General features: G+C 37.0%; 1 protein-coding gene across 5 annotated transcripts in view; it reads right to left on the bottom strand.

The window, feature by feature from the left end:
* Positions 1-27395, bottom strand: part of DCC (DCC netrin 1 receptor) — a 1195703-nt gene that overhangs the window by 79224 nt on the left and 1089084 nt on the right. For all 5 annotated transcript variants that reach the window (NM_005215.4, XM_017025568.2, XM_017025569.2 and 2 more), the window contains 2 exons: positions 21467-21532; positions 6014-6176 (listed from right to left, as the gene is read on the bottom strand). In NM_005215.4, the coding sequence (NP_005206.2) occupies positions 6014-6176; positions 21467-21532 (229 nt within the window). The remainder of the gene's footprint in view (positions 1-6013; positions 6177-21466; positions 21533-27395) is intronic.

The raw sequence follows: 27395 nt of genomic DNA, 5'->3' as shown, positions 1-27395 counted from the left end.
TTAGAAATGCACATTCTCAGGCCCCACTGCAGAACCACTGAATCAGAAACTTGGTTGCAGGGGGCAGTCTGTCTTTTAACACTCTCCAGGTGAATCTGTCTAAAATTTAAGAAGCACTATCATAGTGAATTATTTGGTTTTGTTTGTATTTTAAAGCTAGTTTTTCTATTTGACATAGAGTATTTCATGTTTGGCCCCTCTGCAAATACCAAATGTATCTTTTCCCTCAGGCACCAGTCATCCTTCTGCTTCTAAAATAGCCCTAGAATAGGAGGGTCTCCTTCTACCCCAGGTATTCTTGATAAAGGCAAACAAAGAACCCTCCCAGGCTCTCTGTTTTCTCCTTCTCAGATCATGGCAAAACTTTGACAGCATGGTCAGGTGCTGGTGCTCTATTTTTTGTTTTGTTTGTTTACTTATTTAATTTCTGCCCACAGTGCCTTCAAAATCCTAACTTGCAAATGACTTATTCTTTAAGTCTCCTTTCAAGACTCTCTCCTTCAGGGAACCTTCCTGACCATCTCAGGTCACTGTAATCTTAGAGAATCTAAATCATTTCCCTCATCTCTCTCTGTACCACTCACCTTGGCATTGATCACCGTGTGTCTTATTGAGCTGTCCAGCTGCTCCCTTTGTGATAATTCAGTTCCTTCAGTGAAAGTGGAGCAAACTCTGTTTCCTTTACTTCTTCAACATCATCCATTGTTTTACAACACTTATTTATTTATTCAATCAATATTTATGGATGATTGACTATGTGTCAAGAAATGTGCTAAGTACTACAAATGTAAAGATCAGGGAGGCATTGAAAGCTTAAAAAATGATTGTAACATGGCATGGCTCCTGGGAATTTCTGCATTGTTGGAATGAGGAGCATGCACTGCGGCATGACAGTTTGTGTGCATGAAAAAGTAGAAGGGACAAAAACATAGGAGGCCTTGGCCCAAATAGATACATTTTTAATAATATCAAGAAGTCAGTGGGAAATTGCAAAAAGATTTTTAGCTTGAGAGTTAATATTAATCAGATTTGTTACTTTGTATGATGCAGATCCCATATAAAGCACACAATAATTACTTGAATTAAATAATAAGAATTACTTTCCATTATTGACATGCAAGTATTTATCTGAAAGCTTCTTCTCTGGTTCTGTACTGGTTTACCCATTCCTTACTTTATGCATAACCTATTACTGTAAGGGGAGTTTTTTTTCCTTTTCACTTTTAATTAGTATGCTGGGGATGTGAATGAGTAAAAACCAACATTGGTTGAGTGTCCATTTTATGCAAGACTGTGTCCATTGAAGTTCTAAAATGCAGCTGTTACCATATAGGTTATTTTGGCACATCATAATAAATTATTAAATTTCCACTACGGACTCAGGCATCGTCTGCTAAAGTTGTTCCCAACTTTATTAGGCAGACAAATAAAGAGTGCTGTACTAATTCCCGTGGTTAAAAGACATGCCCAACATCTGATAGGGATTGAGGCAGGAACATTCTGACCCACCAGGGGTTTGGGGGAAGTCTTCAGGAAGGAAGGAAGCTTGAAGTGAGTGTGAATAAATAATTACAAGTTAATCAGAAAAAGATATATTGATAAGTAGAAACATTTCTCTGCTTTCTTTCCAAATCTTTTCCAAAGGCTTCTAGCCCCTAATTGTCCATTTTGATTAATAGCAGTTAGTGGAATAAAAATAAAAACAAAACCAAAAATTTGTATTAGAAACCCAGGTCAAATTCCAGATACTCAAATATATCTCAGAAAAAATTCTGAGATGGAATTAAGATATAATGAAGTCTTAAGGTAGCTGATAGTTCAAATCTCTTATGAGGTGAATATTGAAAACCAATTAAAACGTTAACAAGTGAAAAATCAGTAAAAGTGACCTATAATAGTTAAAATACTGTAGATTTCATTTAAGAGCCTAGACATTTCATCGTCAGTACTAAAAATAATTATTTTTGTCAAGATTTGAATGCATACTAATCTTTAAAACTTGCTGTCCACATGTCAAGTCAAATAGAAGGCCCAGCCAGCCAGTGGTTCTAACAAGTACACCTTAGGTTTTATTTACATGTTTAAATTTAAAGCATTCAGACAAGACTGTAGATCACCTACCCAGGTAACTGCCTTAGAAATGTAATAACCATGCGTTCTAGATCTCCTGGATTTGCTCAATTTCATATATTTTTGTCCTTAGTATCTGTGGATAAAGTCTAACTAATAACATGTGTTCCATATGTTGGGCGAGAAAATGTTATTGCCTTATTAAAAAACAGAGAAACAGGGACAAAAATCAACTTAAGTTTTGTTTCTTTTTTTCTCTTTTGAGACAGGCCTCACTCTGTCACCCAGGCCGGAGTACAGTGATGCAATCATGGCTCACTGCAGCTTCCACATCCCAGGCTTAAGTGATCCCCCAACCTCAGCCTCCTGAGTATCTGGGACTGCAGGTAAGCACCACCATATCTGGCTGATTTAAAATTTTTTAGAGATAAGGTCTCACTATGTGGCCCAGGCTGGTCTCAAACTCCTGGTCTCAAGCCATCCTCATGTCTTGGCCTCCCAAAAGGCTGGGGTTACAGGTGTGTCCAGCCTTAAGTTTTCATAAAATATAATTTTTTCTGTATTAGATGTCATACGATAATCTCACTAATAGAAACTGTGGAAGGGGTCTCTTCAAAGTACAGTAGTAAAAAAGTTTAATAAATAACTGAAAAGAACTGCAGTAATTTAAAGCTTAATGCTACCATGTGATTCTATAAATTAGAAGTATTCCATTGGGAATTTTTATGTTTTAAAAGTAGAAGATTGTTACCTGGCTCTGGACAAAAAAACCAACAAAAAAAGCTAAAGAGAATGATAGAAAGCATTTAGCCCAAATTATCATTATATTTAAAGAAACTGCCACCCAAGTATTAAGGGTCTTCATTTAGGTGATATGATTAGTTTACTATAGAAGCAGTAGAACCCAGAACTAGAACTTGGGTACTGACTTTCATTAGCTATTTTATATAATAAAAATGAAATCTTACCCACTAGTCTGAATCAACTGGATAGCCTAATTGTTGAATATATGTATGATTTTATAAAAAGGTTAGGTTTATTAAATGCATAGACACTTAACCTGAATAAGATATTACTGAGAGTCCATAGAACTTTTTCAATTCACTTGGATGTAATTCAAGTCCCCCAAAAAAAACATAAAGAAAAATTTATATTCTCTAGAACCCCAAAAGAGATATTGAAGAAGCTCGTGAATGCGTTTTCTACTTCAACTTATTAATTACATTAAAGTCCAATTTTCTAAGAGCTTTGGAGGGGATCTTATTTCTGTTTCAGATTGGAATTGATTTTGCTTTCACCTGCATTATCCAGTTTGTTCTGAAGGGCTCAATTGTGATGCAGAGGAGTAGCGGTCCTCAATGGAACAAATAACAAAAAACTAAACTATAAGGGGCCGGGCGCGGTGGCTCACACCTGTAATTCCAGCACTTTGGGAGGCTGAGGCGGGCAGATCATGAAGTCAGGAGATCAAGACCATCGTGGCTAACACGGTGAAACCCTGTCTCTACTAAAAATTCAAGAAATTAGCTGGGCGTGGTGGCGGGCACCTGTAGTCCCAGCTACTCGGGAGGCTGAGGCAGGAGAATGGCATGAAAATGGGAGGCAGAGGTTGCAGTGAGCTGAGATTGCACCACTGCACTCCAGCCTGGGCAATAGAGTGAGACTCCATCTCAAAAAACAAACAAACAAACAAACAAACAAACAAACAAACAAACCCCACTAAACTATAGTTCAGAAATAACTTGAAGGAAACATTTTCTTTTTCTCTATGAAAATATGCACACAAAGGGATGAAAAATGAATGCCAACGGGTCTGCTACTGAAGAAAGATATGAAACAAAGTGTGAACACAAGTAACTATTAAAAGACTTTGAGAGTGCAGTGAGGAAAAACCAAAGTGACTCTACAACTAACTGTTCTTGGATTTTCAGTCATTAATAGAACCACTTATTCTTTAATTAGGTCCCTATTTTTAAAAACAAGTCATACTCAGGGCTCAGAGTCTCCCTTTTCCAAATAAAGCCCTGAAGCTTTTGCCAAAGTGCTTAGGGTAGGATTTAAGATGACTGGAGATTTTCTCAACATGGCACCAAATCCCACTTTTGCACATTGAGAAGACTGGTGTTCTCTCTGTGGAGAAACAAAATATATCCAGGAATCCAGTTCATCAGGTCAATCTAATGCTCGAACATTCTTCTCACAGAAATGACACGGGGCGGGGGGGAACCCAAATCAAAAACAAACCCACTACAGATAGCTTAGTTACATTTGGCTAGTTTAGTGAATGCTTCAGTGTCTTGAAAGCAGTTATATGGTAGGCCAGGTGTCATTTTGGTACCGCCTCCCCACCTTCTTTTACATGAGTCCCTCTTAACTCTGCTTCAGAGACCTGCTGCCTTGATGTTCCACTGTTCCGTGATTTCACAACCCCTTTCCTGATAACACAGCACCAAGAGATTGTTCAATGCCTTACTCAATTAGTTACTTTCCCCTCCAGAGCCTTATTAACAGCCCTGCACTGTGGAAGCTCTGTGAGTGATTATGACTTCCCAGAATGCTCACACATGAGGCTGGCCCAGCTAAGCTCACTCTAGCAGGTTTCTTGCTTAGGCACAATGGAGCAGCACACCAGCTATCACCAGCTTCAAACTAGTCAAATCTCATAAATCAGCTGGTTAGAAAATTTGTCCTGCCATAGAAATAAATTAAATACAAAGCCTGCATCTACACCCCATGTTACTTTTCTTCAGTATGTATATCTTCCCCTGTTCTCTTTCTAAACATGTCACTTCAGAGTGCTGGAAGGTAAACTAGAGATCTACAAATAGAGTTACAGGACTTAAAGAAAGACAGACAGAGAGAGAGAGAGATGGAGAGAGAGAGAGAGAGAGAGAGCAAGAGCGAGCTATTAGCAACAGAAGGGGGAACATTATTTGCTGGAGAATCTTTTCTAGCAAAGTGTAAAGTACACAGTTGTCAAACCAGCCACCTATGAACCCATACCTCAGGCTTTCAGAGGTAATGTCATGCCTGAGGCCAATGGAAAAACCTAAAACCAGAACCAAAAACTCATGGAAGAGCCTAAGATAGTCAACTCAGTGAGAGAGTGTAGCTGAAAAAGACACATCAGGCTGAATTTTAAAAGGACTAGAAAGTCAAAGAGGCAGAGAATGGCTGTGAGATTATTGCTGACTCCCAGCACTGGCTGACACAGACTAACTGGCCAGTTACAGGGTGTTGCTGCAAGGATATAGGCTGAATAAAAATCACTTTTCCATTTTAAACTTTGTACTTTGATGTATCATTCTCTGCATCTGCTAGAACCTAAAGCTGCATAATATGAAAATATTCTTAAAGCCCTCAACACTTTTAATTTCTGACAATTAACCACAGAAAATAAACCATTTTGAATCTCAGAACTCTCTCTTCTTTCTTAACTACTGCCTCCAAACTAAGCACCAACAGGATTGTAACTGTACAGAGTCTGGCATTCTATATTTAGTCATCTCTCCAATAAGTATTGATTAACTGCCTACAGGGCTCCTTGTAAAAAGTGGTAAATAAGTGCACACAGAGAAACACATTCCTCAAATCTCGTGTACATGATTTCAGGGAAGGCCAGAAACAGGGGCATGGTGGAGTCTATTCTCTAGGTGTTACCTAAGGAACACCTGCGCTCACTTGAAAATGAGAAGGGGTCAGAGAAGTAAAAGCAAACAGAAATATAAGTGGGTCCCAGATGGATTTTGTTAGTTATCTTATCTGCGAGTCTAGCCCTCACTCACTTAATGATAGGCCTGGAATAGACAAAACGCAAGGTTTTGCCAGGGTTAGGAAGTAAGGACATGGGGTGAATTATGAAAGAACGCAGAAAGAGGACCATCAAAAATATAACCCCAAAAGACAATGACTTCTTTCCTCTTGGGAACCAGCTGTTACCTACTTTCTCTGCTGGGCTGAAGAGCGTCGGGTGCAAATCACAGCCACGATGACCACTACCAGCACTGTGATGACACCAACGGTGACCACAATGATCACAAGCAGGTTGCTGTTCTTCTGAGGAGTGACACTGCCATGCGGGGGGTGCATTTGTCCAATTGGCGGCTCTGGGAAAAGACAGGAAAATGGAGTTCAGGTTTAGGAAGATGTGGCAGAAGTTTTACCAAGCTCTCTTGGGATATACAAAGTTCCTAATGTTCTGGGCTTTTCTGAACTTAGGGGTAGTGATGGGAGTTCGAGGGAAGCAATGAAAAAATGAGAGGAAACACCTATTTACACAATATAAATAAAAACCTATGCCTGCACAAAAAACCTTATAGAGAAACGTTCATAGTAGCACTGTTCAGAATAGCCAAAAGTGGAAACAAGCTAAATGTCTATGGACTGATAAATGAATAAACAAATGTGTGGTGTGTGTGTGTGTGTATGTATGTATGCATATGTATGTGTGTATGTGTGTGTGTATATATATATATATATATATATCCCCCTATGATGGAATATTACCCAGGCATAAAAAGAAATGAAGCACTAATACCTACTATAATATGGATAAACTATGGAAACACTGTGCTAAGTGAGAGAAGCCAGACACAAAAGGACATATATTATATGATTCTATTTATATGAAATATCCAGAATAGGCAAATCTAGAGAGACAGAAAGTAGACTGGTGTTTTCCAGTGGATGGAAAGAGGGGTGAATGGGGAGGGATAGCTAACAGATACAGGGTATACTTTTGGAATGATGACAATGTTCTGGAACTAAATAGCAGTGATGGCAGCCCAAGCTTATGAATACACTGAACACCGCTGAATTGTACATTTTCAAAGGGTGAGTTTATGGCGCATAAGATATATCTCAATAAAAACAAGATTAAGCTTTCCTACTGAGTGGAAGGTACGGAGAGGAGAAGAGATGCTACTTTGTACCATAAGAATTCCTGAGTGACAAGAACGAGAGAGGCTATGGTTTATGAGGAAACACTATTTGATGCTGTAAAAGACAAACTGCTTGATACCAATCACTCACAATTTACCACCATTCCTTTGAAGATGCCATCTATAAAGCAATTTAATTTTCAACCTGTTAAAGGTGTATGAATCCCACCTAAAAGCAGCCACCGGGTTCAAAAGCCACAAAGTCCTAACACAAATGTTTTCCTGAATTGCCTCAGTACCTCGTGGCAGAAAATATGTAGGTGGAAAATAACAGAATAATAAGACATCTGTGATGAGTTACTTGCTAAATAAGAATGACTAATGACCCTTGACGTAGCTTTCTTAAGCTCTCAGTCAATGATAAATCAACTAGCAATACTCTGTTCTATGTCAGTCATGTTTGTCATTACAAGTTACACATTTCTTAAAAATTAAACATTAGGTTATATTATTTACAAATAATTTAGAAAGTATAAAAAAGCAAGGAATTTGTATGTTTTCCTATACCTAAATTTGATTATTTTTCTTTAATAACCTATATTAATTTTCTATACATCTTGAGCAAAATATTTAGACCTTCTGTACCTCAGTGCCTCCATCTGTATAAAGAATGTAATACTTATTGTGTGCAGTTACTGACAGAATTAGATAAAATACATGTAAAACAACCATCTCAGCACCTGATACAGAGGAGGTGCTTATAATAAAATTACATGACTAACGCAATAATAAAATGTTGCCTAAATTTATAATATCTACAATAGCATTTGGGACTTATGGTGTGAACTTCCAGACTGTAAAGGATTTTTTTTTGAGACAGAGTCTTGCTCTATCACCCATGCTGGAGTGCACTGGCATGATCTCGGCTCACGACAACCTCTGCCTTCTGGGTTCAAGCGATTCTCTTGCCTCAGCCTCCCAAGTATCTGGGATTACAGGCATGTGCCACCACACTAATTTTTGTATTTTTAGTAGAGACGGGTTTTGCCATGTTGACCAGGCTGGTCTTGAACACCTTACTTCAGGTGATCTGCCAGCCTCAGTCTCCCAAAGTGCTGGGATTGCAGGTGTGAGCCACCACATTTTTAGGAATAATACTGACGTGATTTGGCTGCATCCCCACCTAAATCTCATCTTGAATTGTAGTTCCCATAATCCCCATGTGTCCCAGAAGGGACCCAGTGGGAGCTAATTTAATCATGGGGGTGTTTACCCGCATGCTGGTCTTGTGATAGTGAATTCTCACAACAAGGTCTGATGGTTTTATAAGGTCCTTTCCCCCCTTTTGCTCAGCATTTCTCCTTGCTGTCCTTCTCCATGTGAGGAAGGATGTGTTTGCTTCCACTTCCACCATGACTGTATGTTTCCTGAAGCATCCCAAGCCACGCTGAACTGTGAGTCAATTAAACCTCTTTCCTTTATAAATTACCCAGTCTCAGCTATGTCTTTATTAGCATTGTAAGAACGTATTAATACAAATACTCATTGTGATAGCTAAATTAACCTATTCTCACAATTTAATATAATAACCCAGTACTTGCCTCAAAACTGAAATGACGTCTTTTGACAAGTTGCCTAAGAATCATTGCTTTTGTAAAAAAAAAAAAAAAAAAAAAAACTCATCAAAATTTAAATAAATTATAGCTCATTCATTATTATTGGAAACAGAAGTACTTCTACTATAAGTTGACTCTTGGAGGAAAAAACTCATCAAAAGTTTTTAAATAACAGCACTTTCTGTTAAAAAATTATGATTACAAATGAAAGAAATAGGATTTCCTTGAAGTAATTTTTACACTTACCATAAAAGAATGAAGCAAAAAATGAAAGGTCAAAACTCCCTTTTTTCACAGTTTTACTTATTATTTAAAAAGTTATTTTACAGTAGTATTTCAATATGCCCTTTTTGTACTTAATAAGTTAATAGATTGGAATAAATTAACCTTTTATGTGAGAACTTACAAGGAAGATAGTTAGGGATCTCATAGATTTTTATAAGCATGACTTAAATTTAACAATTCACTGTTTCTGACAAACTTAGCTTGAATCATACATAACAGTACACCTTGTCAACATTTTTAAAAGCATGGTAAACTGAAATTACTCAAATTTCTACTTCTATTTCTTTCTTTTCACCCTGGAAGACATCATATTCCAAGTCAAAAAAAATAACTCTGAATTCTGCTGAGTACCAGTGAGATTATATTGATGTCATTTGCCTGGGAGAGTCGGGGTTCATGAGGACTCCCATTACAAATCTTTGACTGCAGGCCTTTATGACTTCCTCATAAAAGTTCCCACCAGTTTAAAATTTTGTATTCAAGGTCTTTCATTAATCACTCAATCTGAAATCAAAGGCTGAATAATCAGATTACCTGACATCAAGCAGGCAATTAAAAAAGTCAAGTGCAATGGTGTCTTTAGTGGCAGTCAATTCTTGTTATTTGCAGGAGTTGTGTTCTATAAAGTTGCCACAAATGCTAATTAGTGAATACTGAATGATTACTTCTAGAGGAAACACAAGGTTAGCTTCCTGTGAGCCTCTGATCACACTGTTTTATCAACCAATTAATATACACTTTGTTTTTTGTGTGTTTCTGTTTAGAGACATCTTATTTAATATATAATGTCGATTCATTAATACTGAAACATCCAATAGCACTATAACTAATGCCTGAGCAAAGCTTTTCAAAATTTGTAGAGAGAACATATTTTCTCTGTAAGTCACACCACACCCTTATTGTGTTTAGGAACCTAGAAAGCACTTCAGCACTACATTTGGGGACCATTTTAAACAGTGAAGTCACCAACAAAAAGAAAAAAATGGAAAAATTGGCAGAAACATACCAAAAAAGGGGCACTTTCTTATAGTATGGGGGCTGAAACGAGAAGACAGAGAGTACCTTTTTTTCTGTCTTAGGTGGTGACATGAGCACTGGGCAACCCAAAATTTTTGCAGCTCTGCACACATCCATGAATGGCCATGAAAACACTGTGAGTATTGATTTGGGGGTTACAAATAAATTTTAGCATGCAGGTAAATTCACAAATTCAGATTCTGCAAGTAATGAGGATCTATATCTTAATACATCAAAAGACTGCTACAAATTAGAAACAAATTTTAGAGCTCTCAAACCTAGATTAGTGTAGTTAGGAGATCTGGGAGACAGGCTGGCTCCAGAAGGGGCAAGTGACATTGCCCCCTTTCCAGCTTCAGTGGGGAAGCTGCATAAAGTCATTCAAAGACTTGCAAATATCCTATAGGGCACTGTGATGATTTCATGAGATAATAGTTGCACCACAGTGACCACAAGCCCTGGCACAAAGTTGGCACTCGTTAGACATTATGATGTGGCTCAATGTGTTTTTTTCCTTTTTTAGAAACAGGGTCTCACTCTGTGACTACTGCTGGAGTGCAGTGGCACAATCATAGCTCACTGTAGCCTTGAACTCTTAGCCTCAAGCAATTCTCCCATCTCAGTTTCCCTAGTAGCTAGGACTACAGAGGTGCATGCCACCATCCCTGGAAAATTTTTAAGTGTTTTTTTTTGTTTTTTTTTTTTTTTTGTAGAGACAGGGTCTTCTTATGTTGCCCAGGCTGGTCTCAAACTCCTGGCCTCAAGCAACCCTCCTACCTCAGCCTCCCAAAGTGCTGGGATTACAGGCATGAACGACCAGGTCCACCCAATGTATTATATCCTATGTAATGTTCCCAGTTTAAAGGAAAAAAAACCTTGTATCATAATATACCTGTCTCTGCTGTTAGCATAATAGTGTGGGTATCCAGTGCCTGAGTAATCAAGACCTAGATGTGTTCCATTAAAATTAGTAATAAGGGTGTCACATTTTTTACCATCTCATGGGCATTCCATTTATTTTTTATTTCCATGATGTTTGAACATGATAAAATGTTTCAGCCTTTTCCTTCTAAATTTAATAAAGCAAATACATATATTTAATAAAGACTTATTAAATATTAAAAAATTGGTTCATTGAAGTAACTTGTTTTTATAAAAATTTTATAGACTGTCAAAAATGTTTTATATTTCTTATCATATTTTGCTCTCATAAACACTCTGCAGCAAGCTCATTGATAGACCAGAGCTCTGAGTACTTAATTATCATTGAAAAGAAAGCTAGATATTGACTCTAAGAGCCCTGGCTCCTACTTTGAGGACCTGGTCCCCTTGGCACAATGGCTGTAATGGCTGTGCCCCAATAGCTACACAATATCAATAGGCAAACAATGTGAATGTAAGAATGACAAGTTCACTTCCGAGGAAGGAAAGAGGTCCAATGAAAGTGTATAGTTGGGGATTTAACTTCACTCCTACAATTGCAGTTTACCCTGATAATGGCTTTATAATTATTAGAACACTTTGAGCTCTACATATGTCTTAATAATTTTATAAGCATTTGAATTTGAACCAAAGTTCATACGGCCTTGATCGTTTCAAAGTATTTCCCCCTGAAATAAGATGCTGTAATCAATCAGCTGGAAGACAACTCACAGATAATTTAGCCCATTGTACCCTAAAATAAGATATTTATCAGCGTTATGGGGGTACAGTTCCTTGGACAACTAAGTTTCAGAACATATTTATTTTAAAAAAATTTGGATTTTTAATATGCTGATGTGAATTGTTAATTGCCAGGAGGAGTGGGGCAGGGGTGGTAGAAAACAGATTCAATTATTCCATAAATATGTGTTGAAGATCCAGTTAGATGTTGGAGATACAATGTTGTAACCAAAAGAAGCATGATTATGGACTTCATGGAACTTGCAATTTACTAAAAAAAGGTAGATGTTCAACAAATCATGAGGGAAATAAATATAGGCATACTGCAGAAATACTGTGGTTTTGGTTCCACACACTGGAATAAAGCAAGTTGCACTAGTTTTTTGGTCTTCCAGTGCATATAAAAGTTTACACTATACTGTAGTCTATTAAGTGTGCAATAGCATTACATCTAAAAATGGCACACCTTAATTTAAAAATACTTCATTTCTAAAAAATGCTAAGCATCATCTGAACCTTCAGCGAGTCACAGACCTTTTGCTGATGGAGGCTTTTGCCTTTATGTTGATGGCTGCTGAGTGATGAGGTTGGGAATTGCTGAAGGGTGGGGTGGCTGTGGCAATCTCTCTTTTTTCTTTTCTTTTCTTGAGACAGACTCTCGTTCTGTCACTCAGGCTGAAGTGCAGTGGTGTGATCTCAGCTCATTGCAATCTCCGCATCCTGGGTTCAAGAGATTCTCTTGCCTCAGGTTCCTTTTCGTATTTTCAGTATAGATGGTGTTTCACCATGTTGGACAGGCTGGTCTCGAACTCCTGATCTCAAATGGTCTGCCCAACTTGGCTTCCCAAAATGCTGGGATTATAGGCATAAGCCACCATGCCCAGCCTGTGGCAATCTCTTAAAATAAGAAAACAATAAAGTTTGCTGCATCAATTGATCATTCCTTTCAAGAAATATTTCTCTGTAGCATGGGATGTATTTGATAGCATTTTACCCATAGGAGAAATTCTTTTATAATTGGAGTCAATTTTCTCAAACCCTACCACTGCTTTATCAACTAAGTTTACGTAATATTACCAATCTTTCATTGTCACTTCAAAAATATTCACAACATCTTCACTAGCAGTAGATTTCATCTCAATGAATCACTTTCTTTGCTCCTCCATAGGAAACAACTCCTCATCTGTTAAAATTTTATCATGAGATTGCAGCAGTTCAGTCACTTCTTCAAGGCTCCTCTTATCATTCTGGCTCTCTTGCTATTTCGATCGCAGTTACTGGGATTTCGATCACACTTACTTCCTCCACTGAAGTCGTGAGCCTCTCAAAATCATCTGTAAGGATTGGAATCTACTCCTTATTGGAATCTATTCCAAACTTCTGTTAGTGTTAATATTTTGACTTTTTCCCATGAATCACAAATGTTCTTAATGGCATCTAGAGTGGTGAATCCTTTCCAAAACGTTTTCAATTTACTTTGCTCAGATCCATCAGAGGAAATCACACTTTATGGCAGCTGGAAGACATATCTATGAAATATCTTTCTTAAATAATAAGACTTGAAAGCATGACTCATTGATCCATGGGCTGCAGAATGGATGTTGTGTTAGCAGGCATGAAAACAGCATTAATCTCTTGTACATTTCCATCAGAGCTCTTGGGTGACTACGAGCATTGTCAATGTGCAGTAATATTTTGAAATGAATCTTTTTGTCTAAGCAATAGGTCTCTACAGTGGGCTTAAAATGTTTAGTAAACCATGCTGTAAACAGGTGTGTAGTTAACCAGACTTTGTTGCACCATTTATAGGGTACAGGCAGAGTAGATTTAGCATAATTCTTAAGGGCCCTAGGATTTTCAGAATAGTAAATAAGCATTGGTTTCAACTTAAAATCCAGCTGCACTATACCCTGATGAGAGAGTCAGCCTGTCCTTTGAAACTTTGAAGCCAACTATTGACCTGTCTCTAGCTATGAAAGTCCTAAATGGCATCTGCTTCCAATATACGGTTCTTTTGTCTGTGTTGAAAATCTCTTGTTTAGTGCAGCCACCTTCATCAATTATCTTAGCTAGATCTTCTGGATAACTTCCTGCAGCTTCTATATCAATACTTGCTGTTGCACTTTGCACTTTTCTGTTATAGAGACGGCTTCTGTTCTTAAACCACATGAATCAACTTCTGCCAGCTTCCAATTCTTCTTCTGCAGCTTCTCACCTCCATAAATCTTCACAGAATTGAAGAGACTTAGGGCCTTGCTCTGGATAAAGCTTTGACTGAAGGGAATGTTGTCGCTGGTTTTATCTTTTATCCAGACCACAAAAACTTTCTTCATGTCAGCAATAAGGCTGTTTTGCTTTCTTATCATTCATGGGTTCACTAGAATAGCACTTTGAATTTCCTTCAAGAACTTTTCCTTTGTATTCACATCTTGGTTTGGCATAAGAGGTCTAGCTCTCAGCCTATCTTGACTTTTGACATGTCTTCATCACTAAGCCTAATCATTTCCAGCTTTTGAATTTTAAAGTGAGAGACATGTGACTCTTCCTTCCACCCGGACACTTAGAAGCCTTGTAGGGTTATTAATTCGCCTAATTTCAACAGTGTTGTGCTCAGAGAATAGAGAAGCCCCAAAAGGGGGAGAGAGACAGGCTGGTTGGTGGGGCAGCTGGAACACACAACAGTTTATCGGTTAAGATCATCATCTTATATGGGTGCAGTTTGTGGTGCCCCAAAGCAATTACAATAGTAATGTCAAAGATCACTGATCACAGACCATCGTAGCAGATATAATAATAATTTAAAAGTTTGAAATATTAGAAAAATTACCAAAATGTCACATAGAGACATGAAGTGAGCACAAGCTGTTAGAAAAATGTTGCCAATAGTCTTGCACAATGCAGGGTTAGCACAAGCTTTCAATTTGGAAAAACTGCAGTATCTGTGAAGCACAATAATGTGAAGCACAATAAAAGGAAGGATGCCTGTATAAAATTACAATTATAACTAGTGCTAAAAAGAAAAGTAGAAAGATTCATGTAGAGAGGTATAACAATGAGAATGTATGGCTGTTGGTGGGGGCTCATGAAAGGACTTATTATGAAAGCAACAGGCTGAAGCATGAGTTATTGCTAAGCATCAGCTCCTATTCCTTTAAACAGAACTGAGAGCAGCCCATGTGCCTGGAACACAGCCAGCAAAAGGGATAATGGCATAAGAGGAGGCTACACAGAGAAAGAGGACCCAGTTTTACTGAGTCTGTAGATTACATTCAGTTATCTTAAATGCAATCACAGACCCTCTAACGGGTTTCAGCAAGCCAGAAACAGACGTGATTTGTTTTAAGAAGACCACTCTGGCTGTTGTGTGGAGAGGGGTCAGTGGTGGAAGCATGGAGATCAGCTAAGAGGTTATTGAAGTTCTCCAAATGAGAGATGATGATAGCTTGACCTGAGACAGTGGCAATTACAATCAGGCAAAGTGGCCAGTTACACAATACAGTTTGAAAGTAAATGAGCACAACACCGGTTGGATATGGGGGAGGAAAGAATGAGAGACTCAGGTTCAAGCCTAAGTAGTAGTCCTCATGTCTTGAGATGAGGGAAAGGGTGAAAGGGAAGGCTCAAAGAGGGAAGAGCAAAAGTTTAGTCTTGAATACGTCGGGGTGGAGATCTCATGATAATTATTAAAGAAACAGCCAGAACATTGATCTCTCTCTGCATTAATGATATACATTTGGGAGTTGGCACATGGATGGAATTCCGATCCATGGAAAGGATGAGATCACCAAAATCAAGAGGTTAAGACTGAGCAGAGAAGCACTGTCAAGGTTAAAACCTACTTTTCAAACAGAAGACAAAGGCCTGGCAAAAGGGCAGTGAGGTGCCATACCACTTTCCTGATGCTTATCTGACAATGGGACACTTGATTTATTTATTTTCTCAGAGCTTCTCAAGAGGACCCATGTACCTTGGAGCAACCTACAGGGTATGCTAATCTAGCTCAGTGGTTTCCAACTGGGAAGATTCCCTCCCTGCCAAGGGGGAAATTTGGCAATGTCTACAGACATTTTGGATTGCTACAACATGGAGGAGAGGAGATATTACTGGCATCCAGTGGGTAAAGGCCAGAGATGCTGCTAAACATCCTGAACAGGACATGTGCCCACAACAAAGAAAAATCCAATCTTACATGTTAATGCTGGTGAGGTTCAGAAGTGCTGCTCTAGCTTAACAGTTTCTAGGTCCAGATGAAAATTGAGATCCGGAGTTTAAGTGACTTGATTTGTCACACAGCTCTAAGCTCTACAAAGTCAGGTCTAGAATCTGGGTTTAGACTAGGACTTTTAAAAATCCTTTGGGATAAAGATAATGGGTGGATGATAGGTGAGCAGTCTCTTGTAATCACTGAACTAGAACCTAGGACCTCAGATTACTCTAGTTATCTTTTCTTTTCATCTGGAAAAAAAGCTGTAAAATTTTGTTTCTGTATCTTTTCTTTTGCATTAAGATTTCTGCTGAGTGTAGCATTGGGTGTCTTCTAATAGTTACCAACCTTGGAATGATCATTTTATAGAAGTGTGGAAAGAGTTTTATGTATACTTTATTTACATTGGTTAAAATGTTATTGAATTCTAAAAAAAAAAAAACAGGTTTGCAAAAATAGAGAGCAAACTGCTTCTTTTCTGACAAATTTTATAGAGCACTTAATATGATTCTGAGTATTTAAAAATTAATAATGTTGATCTATTTATTAACATTGATGTACCAAAGTTTTAAAACTCATCAAGTTTAACTTTATCTTTAAAGGTTGAGGTCAATAAAATACTATTATGAGGTTTATAGATCTTTTAATCAAACTTGTTACACTGATTTTACAAATTATAGGTAGAGCTATAGAAAAAAGGAAATTGCCATTTTATCTTCTCTAATCAGAAAGGGAGGATTATGTTGAAGCAATTTTCATAGTTCCGTCATTTATACAAATATAAACTACAAAACACATTTCCAGATATTGAAGAATTTTTCTGCATTAAGAATGTGGACCATAATCTAAAATTGAATGCATCATAAAAGAAAAATACGGCCGGGCGCGGTGGCTCACGCCTGTAATCCCAGCACTTTGGGAGGCCGAGGCGGGCGGATCACGAGGTCAAGAGATCGAGACCATCCCGGCTAAAACGGTGAAACCCCGTCTCTACTAAAAATACAAAAAAATTAGCCGGGCGTAGTGGCGGGCGCCTGTAGTCCCAGCTACTTGGGAGGCTGAGGCAGGAGAATGGCGTGAACCCGGGAGGCGGAGCTTGCAGTGAGCCGAGATCCCGCCACTGCACTCCAGCCTGGGCGACAGAGCGAGACTCCGTCTCAAAAAAAAAAAAAGAAAAATACTACTACATCACCACATATTAGCTTTGATTCTACCTGCCATCAGAAAATAATTTAGGAAGCCTCTTTCAGTTCTACCATTTAATTAAGGGCTTCCAACTACAGGAGTAAACATGAACTATAGTTTGGTTTTTCTTTATTTGAATTCCAAGAGTACATTTTTAAGAGTGGCACGCTGTAAGAGAAAGTAAATGATTAGCAAGGTCTAAATTTATTTGCAACTGGCTTGAGTATCCTGACAGTAAGCCATTATTCTATTACAATGCTTTGAAGAATGAATCCAGCAAGTGTAGAGGGAGCTAGGAAACCTCTATAATTCTGTCACTCTAAGGGGAGACGTATGAAATTTTATTGTATACAAGGTTTAAAAACTCAGACATTAAATGTTTTGATGTAGCCCACTTTATAAGGGTGAAGTACAATTGGAGTTTTATTACTCAGGGGCCTCACTTGCACATCTACTTGGAAAACATACCCCCCTTTTAAAGCTTAAGACATTAGCAAAAATTTAATTAGAAATCTGAGGTTTTCAGATGCCTTTGCTGATTTGCTTGTAATAGCCAAGGCTAAAGTTATATTATATACTTATCATCATTTATTTGCTAGCAAAATAGAATAGGAAGCAGATAAAGTTTGGCCTCTACCATCCCTGGCTCTCTGAAGTTATCAGTTCACCTTAATCAGCCAGACAGCCTGAAATAATTTGTTATTCCAGTAGGGAATCTAGAAATATTTCAGATACGTTATTCATCTCATTCATTTAGCATGAAATCCCTAAAACATCATTAAGTGATGCAGAAAATTGGGAAGAAGTAATGTCAATAACGCATCTAAACTGCTTCAAAGCTACTGAATGGCATCGGTCTATTTAATCTTCACGACTTTCTCCTGTGAGATAATGTGTACCAGGTCAAATTTAATTTTGGTCAGTTTTCTCACTAGGAATCTTAAATGGTAAAACAAAAATGAACCCAATGATGTGGATTTCTCTTTCTCTTCTTCTAACATCTGACACCTTTGAAAAGGAAAGTGATTGTTGACTTATATGCTCATGTCAAATGTGGGCTGGGATTTCTTTTCAACCAAAAATTTATTTTAATTTGAATAGCAACTTCAAATAGTCAACAACAAACTTTTGAATTCAATCTGAAATTGGGATTTCCAGATTTCACAATTAAAAATACAGGAGGCCCAATTAGGTTAGAATTATTTCTAGTTGCCTATTCATGTATACCTAGGGGTGCATATATAAATTGAGATGGCAATCCCTTTTATAATTTTTCTTTATCTATTACTCACAGAAATAATTTAAATGTTACTTGGCCTCTTTATATTTTTAATTGCAATATCTGGCAATTCTTCCCAATACTGGAGTCCTTTTGGACATGCAGTTTAAGAGAGTACATAGTTTTGTGTCTGTGGCTTACATTTGCCCAAGCTTTAAGCCTCATAACCACTGCTCAGTAGTGGTTGAAACCTATAGGTTAATTTCTCTCTCTCATTCATCCATACCAAATCCCTCTTTAATTTTCTGGCAGTATGTCTCTTCAAAAAGTACTGTCCCGTACCAGTATAGATAGTATTCCCTTGACTGGGAATGAATTTCAATGTGAAAATCCTTGTAGAAATAGCTTCTTAAAATTGGCTCTGTTGGATGATTCTAAAGGGGACAATGCTAATTTCCTGCATGAACTCCAAAGTCAGAAGCTCTGTATCTCAGGGTATAAAATACAACAATTATGTTTCTCCCAATTTCAGCAACTTCCTTTTTTTACCCTGCTATATATCTCTAGGGATTTTCTCATCCTCTTTCATCTTCCTGGGGTGTATATTTCTGCTTTGTCCACCCAGGCAATTAACCCTCTTGGTGTATTGGTCCTGCAGTGGTCTGTCCTTCAGTTTGCGCCCATAGCTCATTGCAAGTGCCCTGCACTCGCTGAGGGCTTAGTCGCATTTCTTGACTGACTGCTTGAATACATATAATGTTTTTGGCTTATTGTTGAAATTTAAGATAAAATTTGGAGCACGAGAGTGAGCTAATGAAATTGCAAAGTTGGGAGGAGGGAATTATTGTTACTTATGCCCATTTTATGGAGCATGGCCTGGGGTCTGTTTTCTGTCTCAACAAGTCCCTCCTCTCACCTTCTGTGAGCTTTTTTTTTTTTTTTTTTTTTTTTTTTTGAGATGGAGCCTTGCTCTGTTGCCCAGGCTGTAGTGTAGTGGTGTGATCTCGGCTCACTGCAACCTCTGCCTCCTGGGTTCAAGTGATTCTCCTGTTGCCTCAGCCTCCTGAGTACCTGGGACTACAGGTGCGTGCCACCACTCCTGGCTAATTTTTTGTGTTTTTAGTAGAGACAGGGTTTCACCGTGTTAGCCAGGATGGTCTCGATTTCCTGACCTCGTGATCTGCCCGCCTCGGCCTCCCAAAGTGCTGGGATTACAGGCGTGAGCCACCACACCCAGCCCTGTGTGCTTCCTAAACTACCTGTTGGGTATGTTAGGGACTGCCAGAGCAAGGTGTTAGTTAAAACAAGTGTCTGAAAGTCAAATACCTACCAGGGACAGTCATGTTATTTAAATGAAGGAAAATGAGGAGTCTAAGAGACAATAGGAAGTTGTGAGTAGCCTGGAAAGAGCATCCTGGGAAGCTTGCTATGGTCTGAATGCTTGTGTCCTTCCAAAATTCTTATGTTGAAACCTAATCCCTGTTAGGGAGGCATTAAGAGGTGGAGGCTTTGGGAGATAATTAGGTCATGAGAGTGGTGGCCTCATAAACGGGATTAGTGCCCTTATTTTAGAAAAAGCCTGAGGGAGCTTGCTCACCCTTTCCAAACACCATGGGAGAACACAGCTGGAAGGCATCAACTGTGAAGCAGAGAATGAGCCCTCAGCAGACTCCCAGTCTGCTGGCACCTTGATCTTGGACTTCCTAGCATCCAAAACTGTGAGCAATAAATTTCTGTTGTTTATAAGTTACCCCAAATCTGGGGTATTTTTTAATAGCAGCAGAAATGGACTCAAAGTTTAAACATAAGACGTTCTACGTGTTGCTGGTTAGGAAAAAGGCATTAATAACAGAGGAAGGTATTGCCAGGCAATTCAAAAATAAGTCAAGAGGTGAAAATATATTTCTAAGTCTACCATTGGCCAGAGGAGAGATAACCCTAAGTCTTTGATGCAAGCATTTGGTGTACTCTGTATATATATATATCCTCTTGGGAAAATTGCTGCATTAGATTATCACAGCCTATGATAAGAAATAATCACTTAATTTACACCACTATTCTATTTCACATGCAGCAAACTATTTTTAGATTGGAATTTTGACTTCCTTTCTGGATTTTTTAAAAGGAGATCAAACAAATGGAAATTTATCAGTTCAGTAATCAAGTTTCTTAAGAAAACCTGCAAAAATGGTTAATTTTGTTGTTTCATAAAATAGAATACTGTACAGCAGCCAAGATAAATGAGTGAGAGCTATTTGTAAACACATGGATACATCTTCAAAACTACGTTAAAAAAGAAAGCAAGTTGTAGCAGGATACAATATCATTTCTATAAATTTGTAAAACTGTAAAACAATATAATGTTTAGGGATACGTATACATACGTAGTAAACATCAAATTAGAGCACTTATATCAGAGTGAGGAACAGTGTTAAGAAGCATGTGAGAAAACACAGACATACAAGATATTTCAATTCCATGCTGTATATTTCATATCTTAACCTTGCTGATGGGTATACAAGTGTTCATCTTCACATTTTGAATATCTGAAGGTCTTTTTAGTAAGTCAAACCAAACAACAGCAATAATGAAAAAGAAACTTATAACATGGCCTCATACATACATTAGTCCCCTGAAAATTTGGCCAGTATTAGTCCATCCTTTTAAAGTTTGTTTCAGCAAAACTAAGGATAAGATCCTGGAATGCAGCCCCCACACCAACCTTGTCCTTCTATGTAGCTCTAGATAGTACCTCCATCTGGTCATCCTTAAAGCCAGCAGATATTTGGGCATGCTCCACTAGGATGAGCAGAAATAAATGTCTAATGTAGACAACACAAAGAAAATTTAGCCCTAAGATGGTAGAGGATTTTGAAGAATTAAATGTACCCTGCAGGCAAAAATCCAAGTAACTTTAATATATGAAACTGGGTGGGTTTCAATTTAACCAACCTTAGATATCACCTCTCTCAAATAAAATTAGATTCCTGCAAACATCTTAAATGTATTGTAACATTTAAAAATCTTGGTATTTAACAGCTTTGTGTCATTTACAAAGTGCTCCATGCTGGGCTTCTCTAACTGACTCCTTTTTTACATACCTGTCAACTCTTATTGGCATCATCTCCTGGCAGAATGTGCTAGAAGTTTTTTGTTTTTTTTGTTTTTGTTTTTGTTTTTTAATAACTTCATGTTTCTATTATCCCACTAAGACACTAAATCCAAGGTTCCTGGCACTTGTAGTTGATAGAAAATTTGCCCCAGACACTCTTGAATTAACCATTTAATTAATATAACTAATTCAATATTACCTAATTTATATACTTACCATTTAGGGTGCTTCTATCAATCAAATTAGTATCAACTGGCCAATAACCTCCATCTCCATGACGACCTGTTCATTGGGAGAGCATGTCACAATGTCAGTACAAATGAAACAAAATGAAGACAAAAAGAATAAATATTTTAACACACACAATAACAGAACAGATTACTTTGATCACCCCCAAGAAAGCCTGACAACTCTCATACCCTTACACCTATAAGAAAATGTTATTTTCCATGTGTGAGAAAAACAAGTCGCAAAAGTAAACTCTCTTAAACTAAATTCAGTGTTTCACTGATATGCCATCCTCCATTCTTTTTATTTCTCCCAATATTCTTATTAAAGTCTTTTATTAAAGGTGCAGCAGCAGTGCCGGTCTAAATGCTATTCTCCTGAACCTTTTAGAACAGAAATAACTCAGGTCCTGGCTCCTAGGTCCTGCAGATACTGTCACCCAACTGACAAGACTTTATGGAAAATTATTGTTATCCTACAAGGGGCCAGCACATTTCATCTTATAACTGGGCTTTGGGTATTCTCTTTGTTAGGTGTCAAATACAGTACCTGGAAATGAAATTCCACATTGGAAGTAAGAGTGGAGGTTATGTCACAAACCATATGGTCTGAATATTTCCTACAAATACACCATAAAGGGAAGAAAGCTCCTTCAGTATAGCATTATTGGAAATTCTGCCTTCCATTAGGTGTGTAACAGATGTGAAAGCCGTATTTAAGAGAAATAAGCCAGGAATTCACCAGAAATAATTATACTATCATCCAAAATTTAATTAATGGTGTTTCACCACAGATAATCTTTTTCTCTACTGGTGCATTCATAGAACTGAAATCATTTGATTAGATTTTGAGTTCTAGAATATCTAGGTAGACTACTTATGTAAAACATTTGAGAGGTGAATCTGTATGCAAACAAAGACCAGAGTATAGGTAATTTTCTATTTTATTTGCTTAAAACAGTTATTTCTGAAAGCAGTTCCAATCAGTGGATGACATAGAGAAAGCCAACCAGGACACTCAGATACAGTAACATAGGTTGTTTTCTCACATTTAGAGATTTCAGTTTTCTTCATCTCTATAACTTTCAAGTCCTGGTTTTGTGACTTTATTTTGCATGACAAACACTACCCTTACTAAAGCTTTCCCAAGATTTTATCATTTTATTTGCAAAACAGCTTTCAAGAAACAACTTAGAATCCTGTTAACTGACTCTATATTCACAATTTAAAAAATTCTTTTGATATCAAGTCACAGCTGAAGTTAGGATGTCAAATTTCTAGCAAGCAATAAGATAAATTAATTCAGTCACCTTATATTATATCTTCAGCATAAAACGGCATGTTTAATATCTGCTGGGACAATGACTGTGAGTATGTAAGGAAGTAGGAGATAGGATGCAGGCTCCTATGTGTGTGTACAGGGGGAAGGTGGTGGTGAGAGGAACAATCAAAATGAGCTGAAATTGTGAAAATTTTAGTGGGCTGACAAAAATGTGGACAAGTCTAACCCTTTTACAAATACCTTGTTTATATAACTGTGATGCATTTGGGGTTTCAATGAGCAGCGGATAAGCTTTGCCCACGAGACATCGTGAGATCAACGTTGGCTGATGTGAGGTGGAAGCTCTACATAAATATTAAGATGACTTTTCTAGCAACTGAAAGCAGCTAGATTGCAAAGCAGTCAGCCAAAAGAGATGCTAACATCATCACTTAGGCCAGTAAAGCAATACATGTTTCCTGTTGGGAATAATCCTGTATCGGCTGGAAATTAGCTAGGTAGCCTATGGAGGATTTTCCTTTTCCTCCAGCAGCCTGGCAAATGTCTTTTTAATGAAGTTTCCAACTCTCCCTGTAATTTGTGGCAGGATGCAAAAAGAAGCCAATAAGCATATTCATATATTACATACACATATAGCTCTATGGGTACAGCACCCCTTAGATTTAGTGAGGCTATTGATTACATCGTGAATTTCAATAGGTAGAAGAAATCAGATGCCGTATAGGTCAAAGCGCTGGGTGAGATAAAGGAACTCTAGAAATGTTTCTAAATAACAAGGAGTAGCTTAAAGCTTGGACATTCTACTCACAGAATCTAGTATATTGATGTGGGTTAACTTTTTGTCCCTTATAATTAGATTAATATCACAAAAGGAAATCATGTAATTCTCAACAAGTCCAACAGAAAGCACTTTTTAAAAAGTTGATGTCACCAACGAGCAAGTTTAGATTTATAGTGATTCACATTTCTTGCACCACTTCAGCCAAAAAACCACAAAACCCATTTCTGGGATGTTGATGAGCCTAAGATCTCTTGATCTAAAGACAGAGGCATCAGATTTTAATTTTAATTTTAATTTTGAGTGATGTTAAGTTTCCATTCTCTGAAATATGTCTTTTAAATTTCAGGAAGTCTCCCTTTATGTGGCCAATACATAATAATAATAATAATAATAATGATAAAAGATTCTCCCATTGCTTTAAGGAGAGCATCACAAAGTTGTCAAATGAAGAGACAATAAAGGCTAAAAAGGAAAGGATATGGGTTTATGGGTGTTACTTCTTGGCATATCACAGCATTTTTAAGAGCTTGTTGCTGTAGAACAAATATTGGATGTGTTTAGTTACCTTGGTTAATTTCATAAGCACTGATTTCGAGAAAGAGAGGAGTAATCAGAATTTAGAAAACAGCTGGAGTGAAAGTCAGCTAATGCAAAGATATAAAATACTTCCCTATCCCAGAGGTCATTTTATTAATGAAGCATAAAACTGGTAATAATTCTTTCAAACATTTATTAAATGCTTACTACATGCAACGCATAGTCCTAGATCCTCAGGGAAGGAGTAGTATAAAAAGATATATTAGACATGGATCCTGCCATGACAGGGAGAGTTGGTTCATTGTAATCAGATCCTATGCAGGCCTATTTATGGTTAATATTAACCAACTGCAGATGGTTCTTAATATTTTCTGACATTAAAGATTTAAGAATAACTTAATTCATTTATTACTATAAACTTACTACTAGGTTTAATTAAAAATGCTTTTTAATTATTATTAAAGTATTCTTATCAAAAGTATTATTAAAAGAACTGCATGCAAATAAAAATGTTTTATTTTCAGTCACATAACTTTATATGTTTCATAGTTATATTTATTTTAAAATCTTGAATTACTTTTTTGCATATCATACTAAATTTTTAACACTTTTACAAATTAAAATTCTAAATAATTAAATGGATTTATGGAAATTCAAATATAAATTTGGGGGAAATCACGTAATAAATTTCAGTTTTCTTCCCTCAAATAAAGTTCAACATGGCTTAAAGCATTTTAGAAATCAGTAGTTTATTTTTTCCTTTTTATATGAATAATACAATTTTATATGAATAGTGATCAAATGTACTATATGAAGGCCAGGTGCGGTAGCTCATGCCTGTAATCCCAGAACTTTGGGAGGCCGAGGAGGGTGGATCACTTGAGGTCAAGAGATCAAGACAGCCTGGGCAACATGGCAAAACCTCGTCTCTACTAAAAATACGAAAATTAGCAGAGCACGGTGGCGCATGCCTGTAGTCCCAGCTACTCTGGAGGTGGAGGCAAAATTGCTTGAACCCAGGAGGTAGAGGTTGCAGTGAGCCGAGACTGCGACACTGCACTCCAGCCTAGGCGATAAAGCAAGACTCTGGCTCAGTAAAAAAACAACAACAACAACAACAACAACAAAAAACAAAGTGTACTATATGAATATAATTCTACAGGATATAAAGAAGAATTCTGTATTGGATTACTATGTACCCATATTTTCTCAATAACACAAATTGAGGATGGGGAGGAATGAGATATTAAAGAGTAATTAATTGATTTTCACTTAACAACTTTGGAATTTTATGCAGCTAATTTCATAAAAAAAAAAAAAGCTTCTGCCAAAGTTTTGATAATAAAAGCAAATGATTTTCTACTTTTACCTTAGATTTTGGAACCAGGAAATGGTAGCTTCAGAAACAAAAATTAAATAAATATTAAATGGGCATTGGCTGAGTTAAAACAGAGGGAGTTTGTAGCTGTTTTGAGTTATTCAAAATAGCTTTTATATATTTAAATATATTTTATTTAGGTAATGCTTAGGCAGGTCCTAATCAGAAATTTCATATACCTCTCCTTTCTTTGAATTTTTAAAATGTCATAAAGTCGTTTAAGGGGTTGCCTTACACATTTTATTTAAAAGATGGGCCTCATAAGGAATCTTCTTTTTATCCCTTTTTGGCACATACCATATGCTTCCTTGGACAAAAGTCTTCTTGATCTCCCTGCTACCTGTTCTCTGAATTGAAGAAAAAATTGGCAGAAGTAATATGACTTCCTTTAGGAAGTCTGTTCATTGTTATATTCCTTTGTGCTAACTGAAGTGATGTGCAAAAATGTGTTCTCAATGTCCTATGAGTAACTAATGCTAGCTAGGATGCTTTGTAATGTTTTAATAATAAGTACAAATCTTAAGTTATTACTATTATGCAATTTATTATTTATGTTATTATCCTTACATGTCACCTGAATTATTTGCATGTTTTTATTGTGGTGTACGTATAAAATGAAATAACATTAATGTTTATATTAAATCCTTATTTGCAGCACACATGGGCAGATTGAGAATCTTTTCCACGATAAAAAATTTTCAGCACTGAACAAAGATTAATTCAATTGGGATTTCAGTCCTAGAGTCTAGTTTTTCTGTGTGATTGTTTATAAGTTCAGAGAAGAGAGAATGGAAAATTAATCTGCAGAAGACATGGAGAAAAGTGGATGTGGTAGTTCTAATCGTTTGTTTAATCCATCTTCCCTGAATGGGCATAAGAGAGGGTCATCCAGGACGACGTTCATACAATCAATCCCTAGAGAAAAACGTATTGTCCATAATCTAAATCAAATGGACAGACTGGCCATCTAACAAATGTTCAATGTATATCTTTCCAAGGGTGCTGAGCACTGAGATATCTTCTTGATCTTAAAATTTGTTCTCTGAAAATAATTCTAATGATGATAGAAATTGCATTGATTTTCTGTCTTGTATACCAGCAGATAAAGAATATCCATTAATATTACCTGAATATAATTTTACTGTCCATCTGACACACAGACCGTATTTAAAGTAGGTGATTTGTCAGAGGCTGAAATGTGTTTCTAAAAGATCGGTTTACCAGGCAGTTGATAACAATGCTGATTTTAAACAAAGGCATCGGGCATCAAAAACCAGAAAGCAAAATCATAACCAACACGTAGGATATTTCAAATATTTTAATAGAAAAGAACTAATGAGCTCTCTTAACCTTTTCCTAAGGTTCAACACATTGTTTTCAAAACAACATGAAAGAAAGTTCACTGATTGAAAGAAAATACATTGTTACTGCTATGCCTGTCCAATATTGAGCCCTGGTGCTCTACAAATTCTTGCTGCTTTCCCTTCTTCAAAACCTTTGGTTTTATTTTCCACCTGTGGAAAGTCTAAGGGCAATAATCTGCAGGATAGGAATGCATTTGGTAAACTACTCTGAGCCAAAGTGCAAGAAAACCAAATATGCCATTACCCATATTTCTCTTAATCATAAGTAGTAGTATTTTTGCAATTCCAATTTCTGTATTTAGGCCATAAAATATGAACAGGTTAGACTCTTCCTGAGAAGTAAATTCATTTTTTAAAAATCCTTAGAAATCAAATTCAAAACTAAGATAATAATTTCACACACGAATAAAATGAAATTGAGTGAGCATACAGTTATTACAAAAAAAATACCAGGATACAAAATAGAAACTGTGGGTATCCTAGACAAATTTAAACAAATTAATTTCTTATCCTAATTTCTGCTCTTGGTTTACATCTTAGCCTGATAATGGGTCTTGACTGTCTGAGGCATGCATG

Source organism: Homo sapiens, chromosome 18 (genome assembly GCF_000001405.40).
Source record: "Homo sapiens chromosome 18, GRCh38.p14 Primary Assembly".
NCBI classification, from domain to species: domain Eukaryota; kingdom Metazoa; phylum Chordata; class Mammalia; order Primates; family Hominidae; genus Homo; species Homo sapiens.
This window is presented reverse-complemented; position numbering and strand designations above follow the sequence as displayed.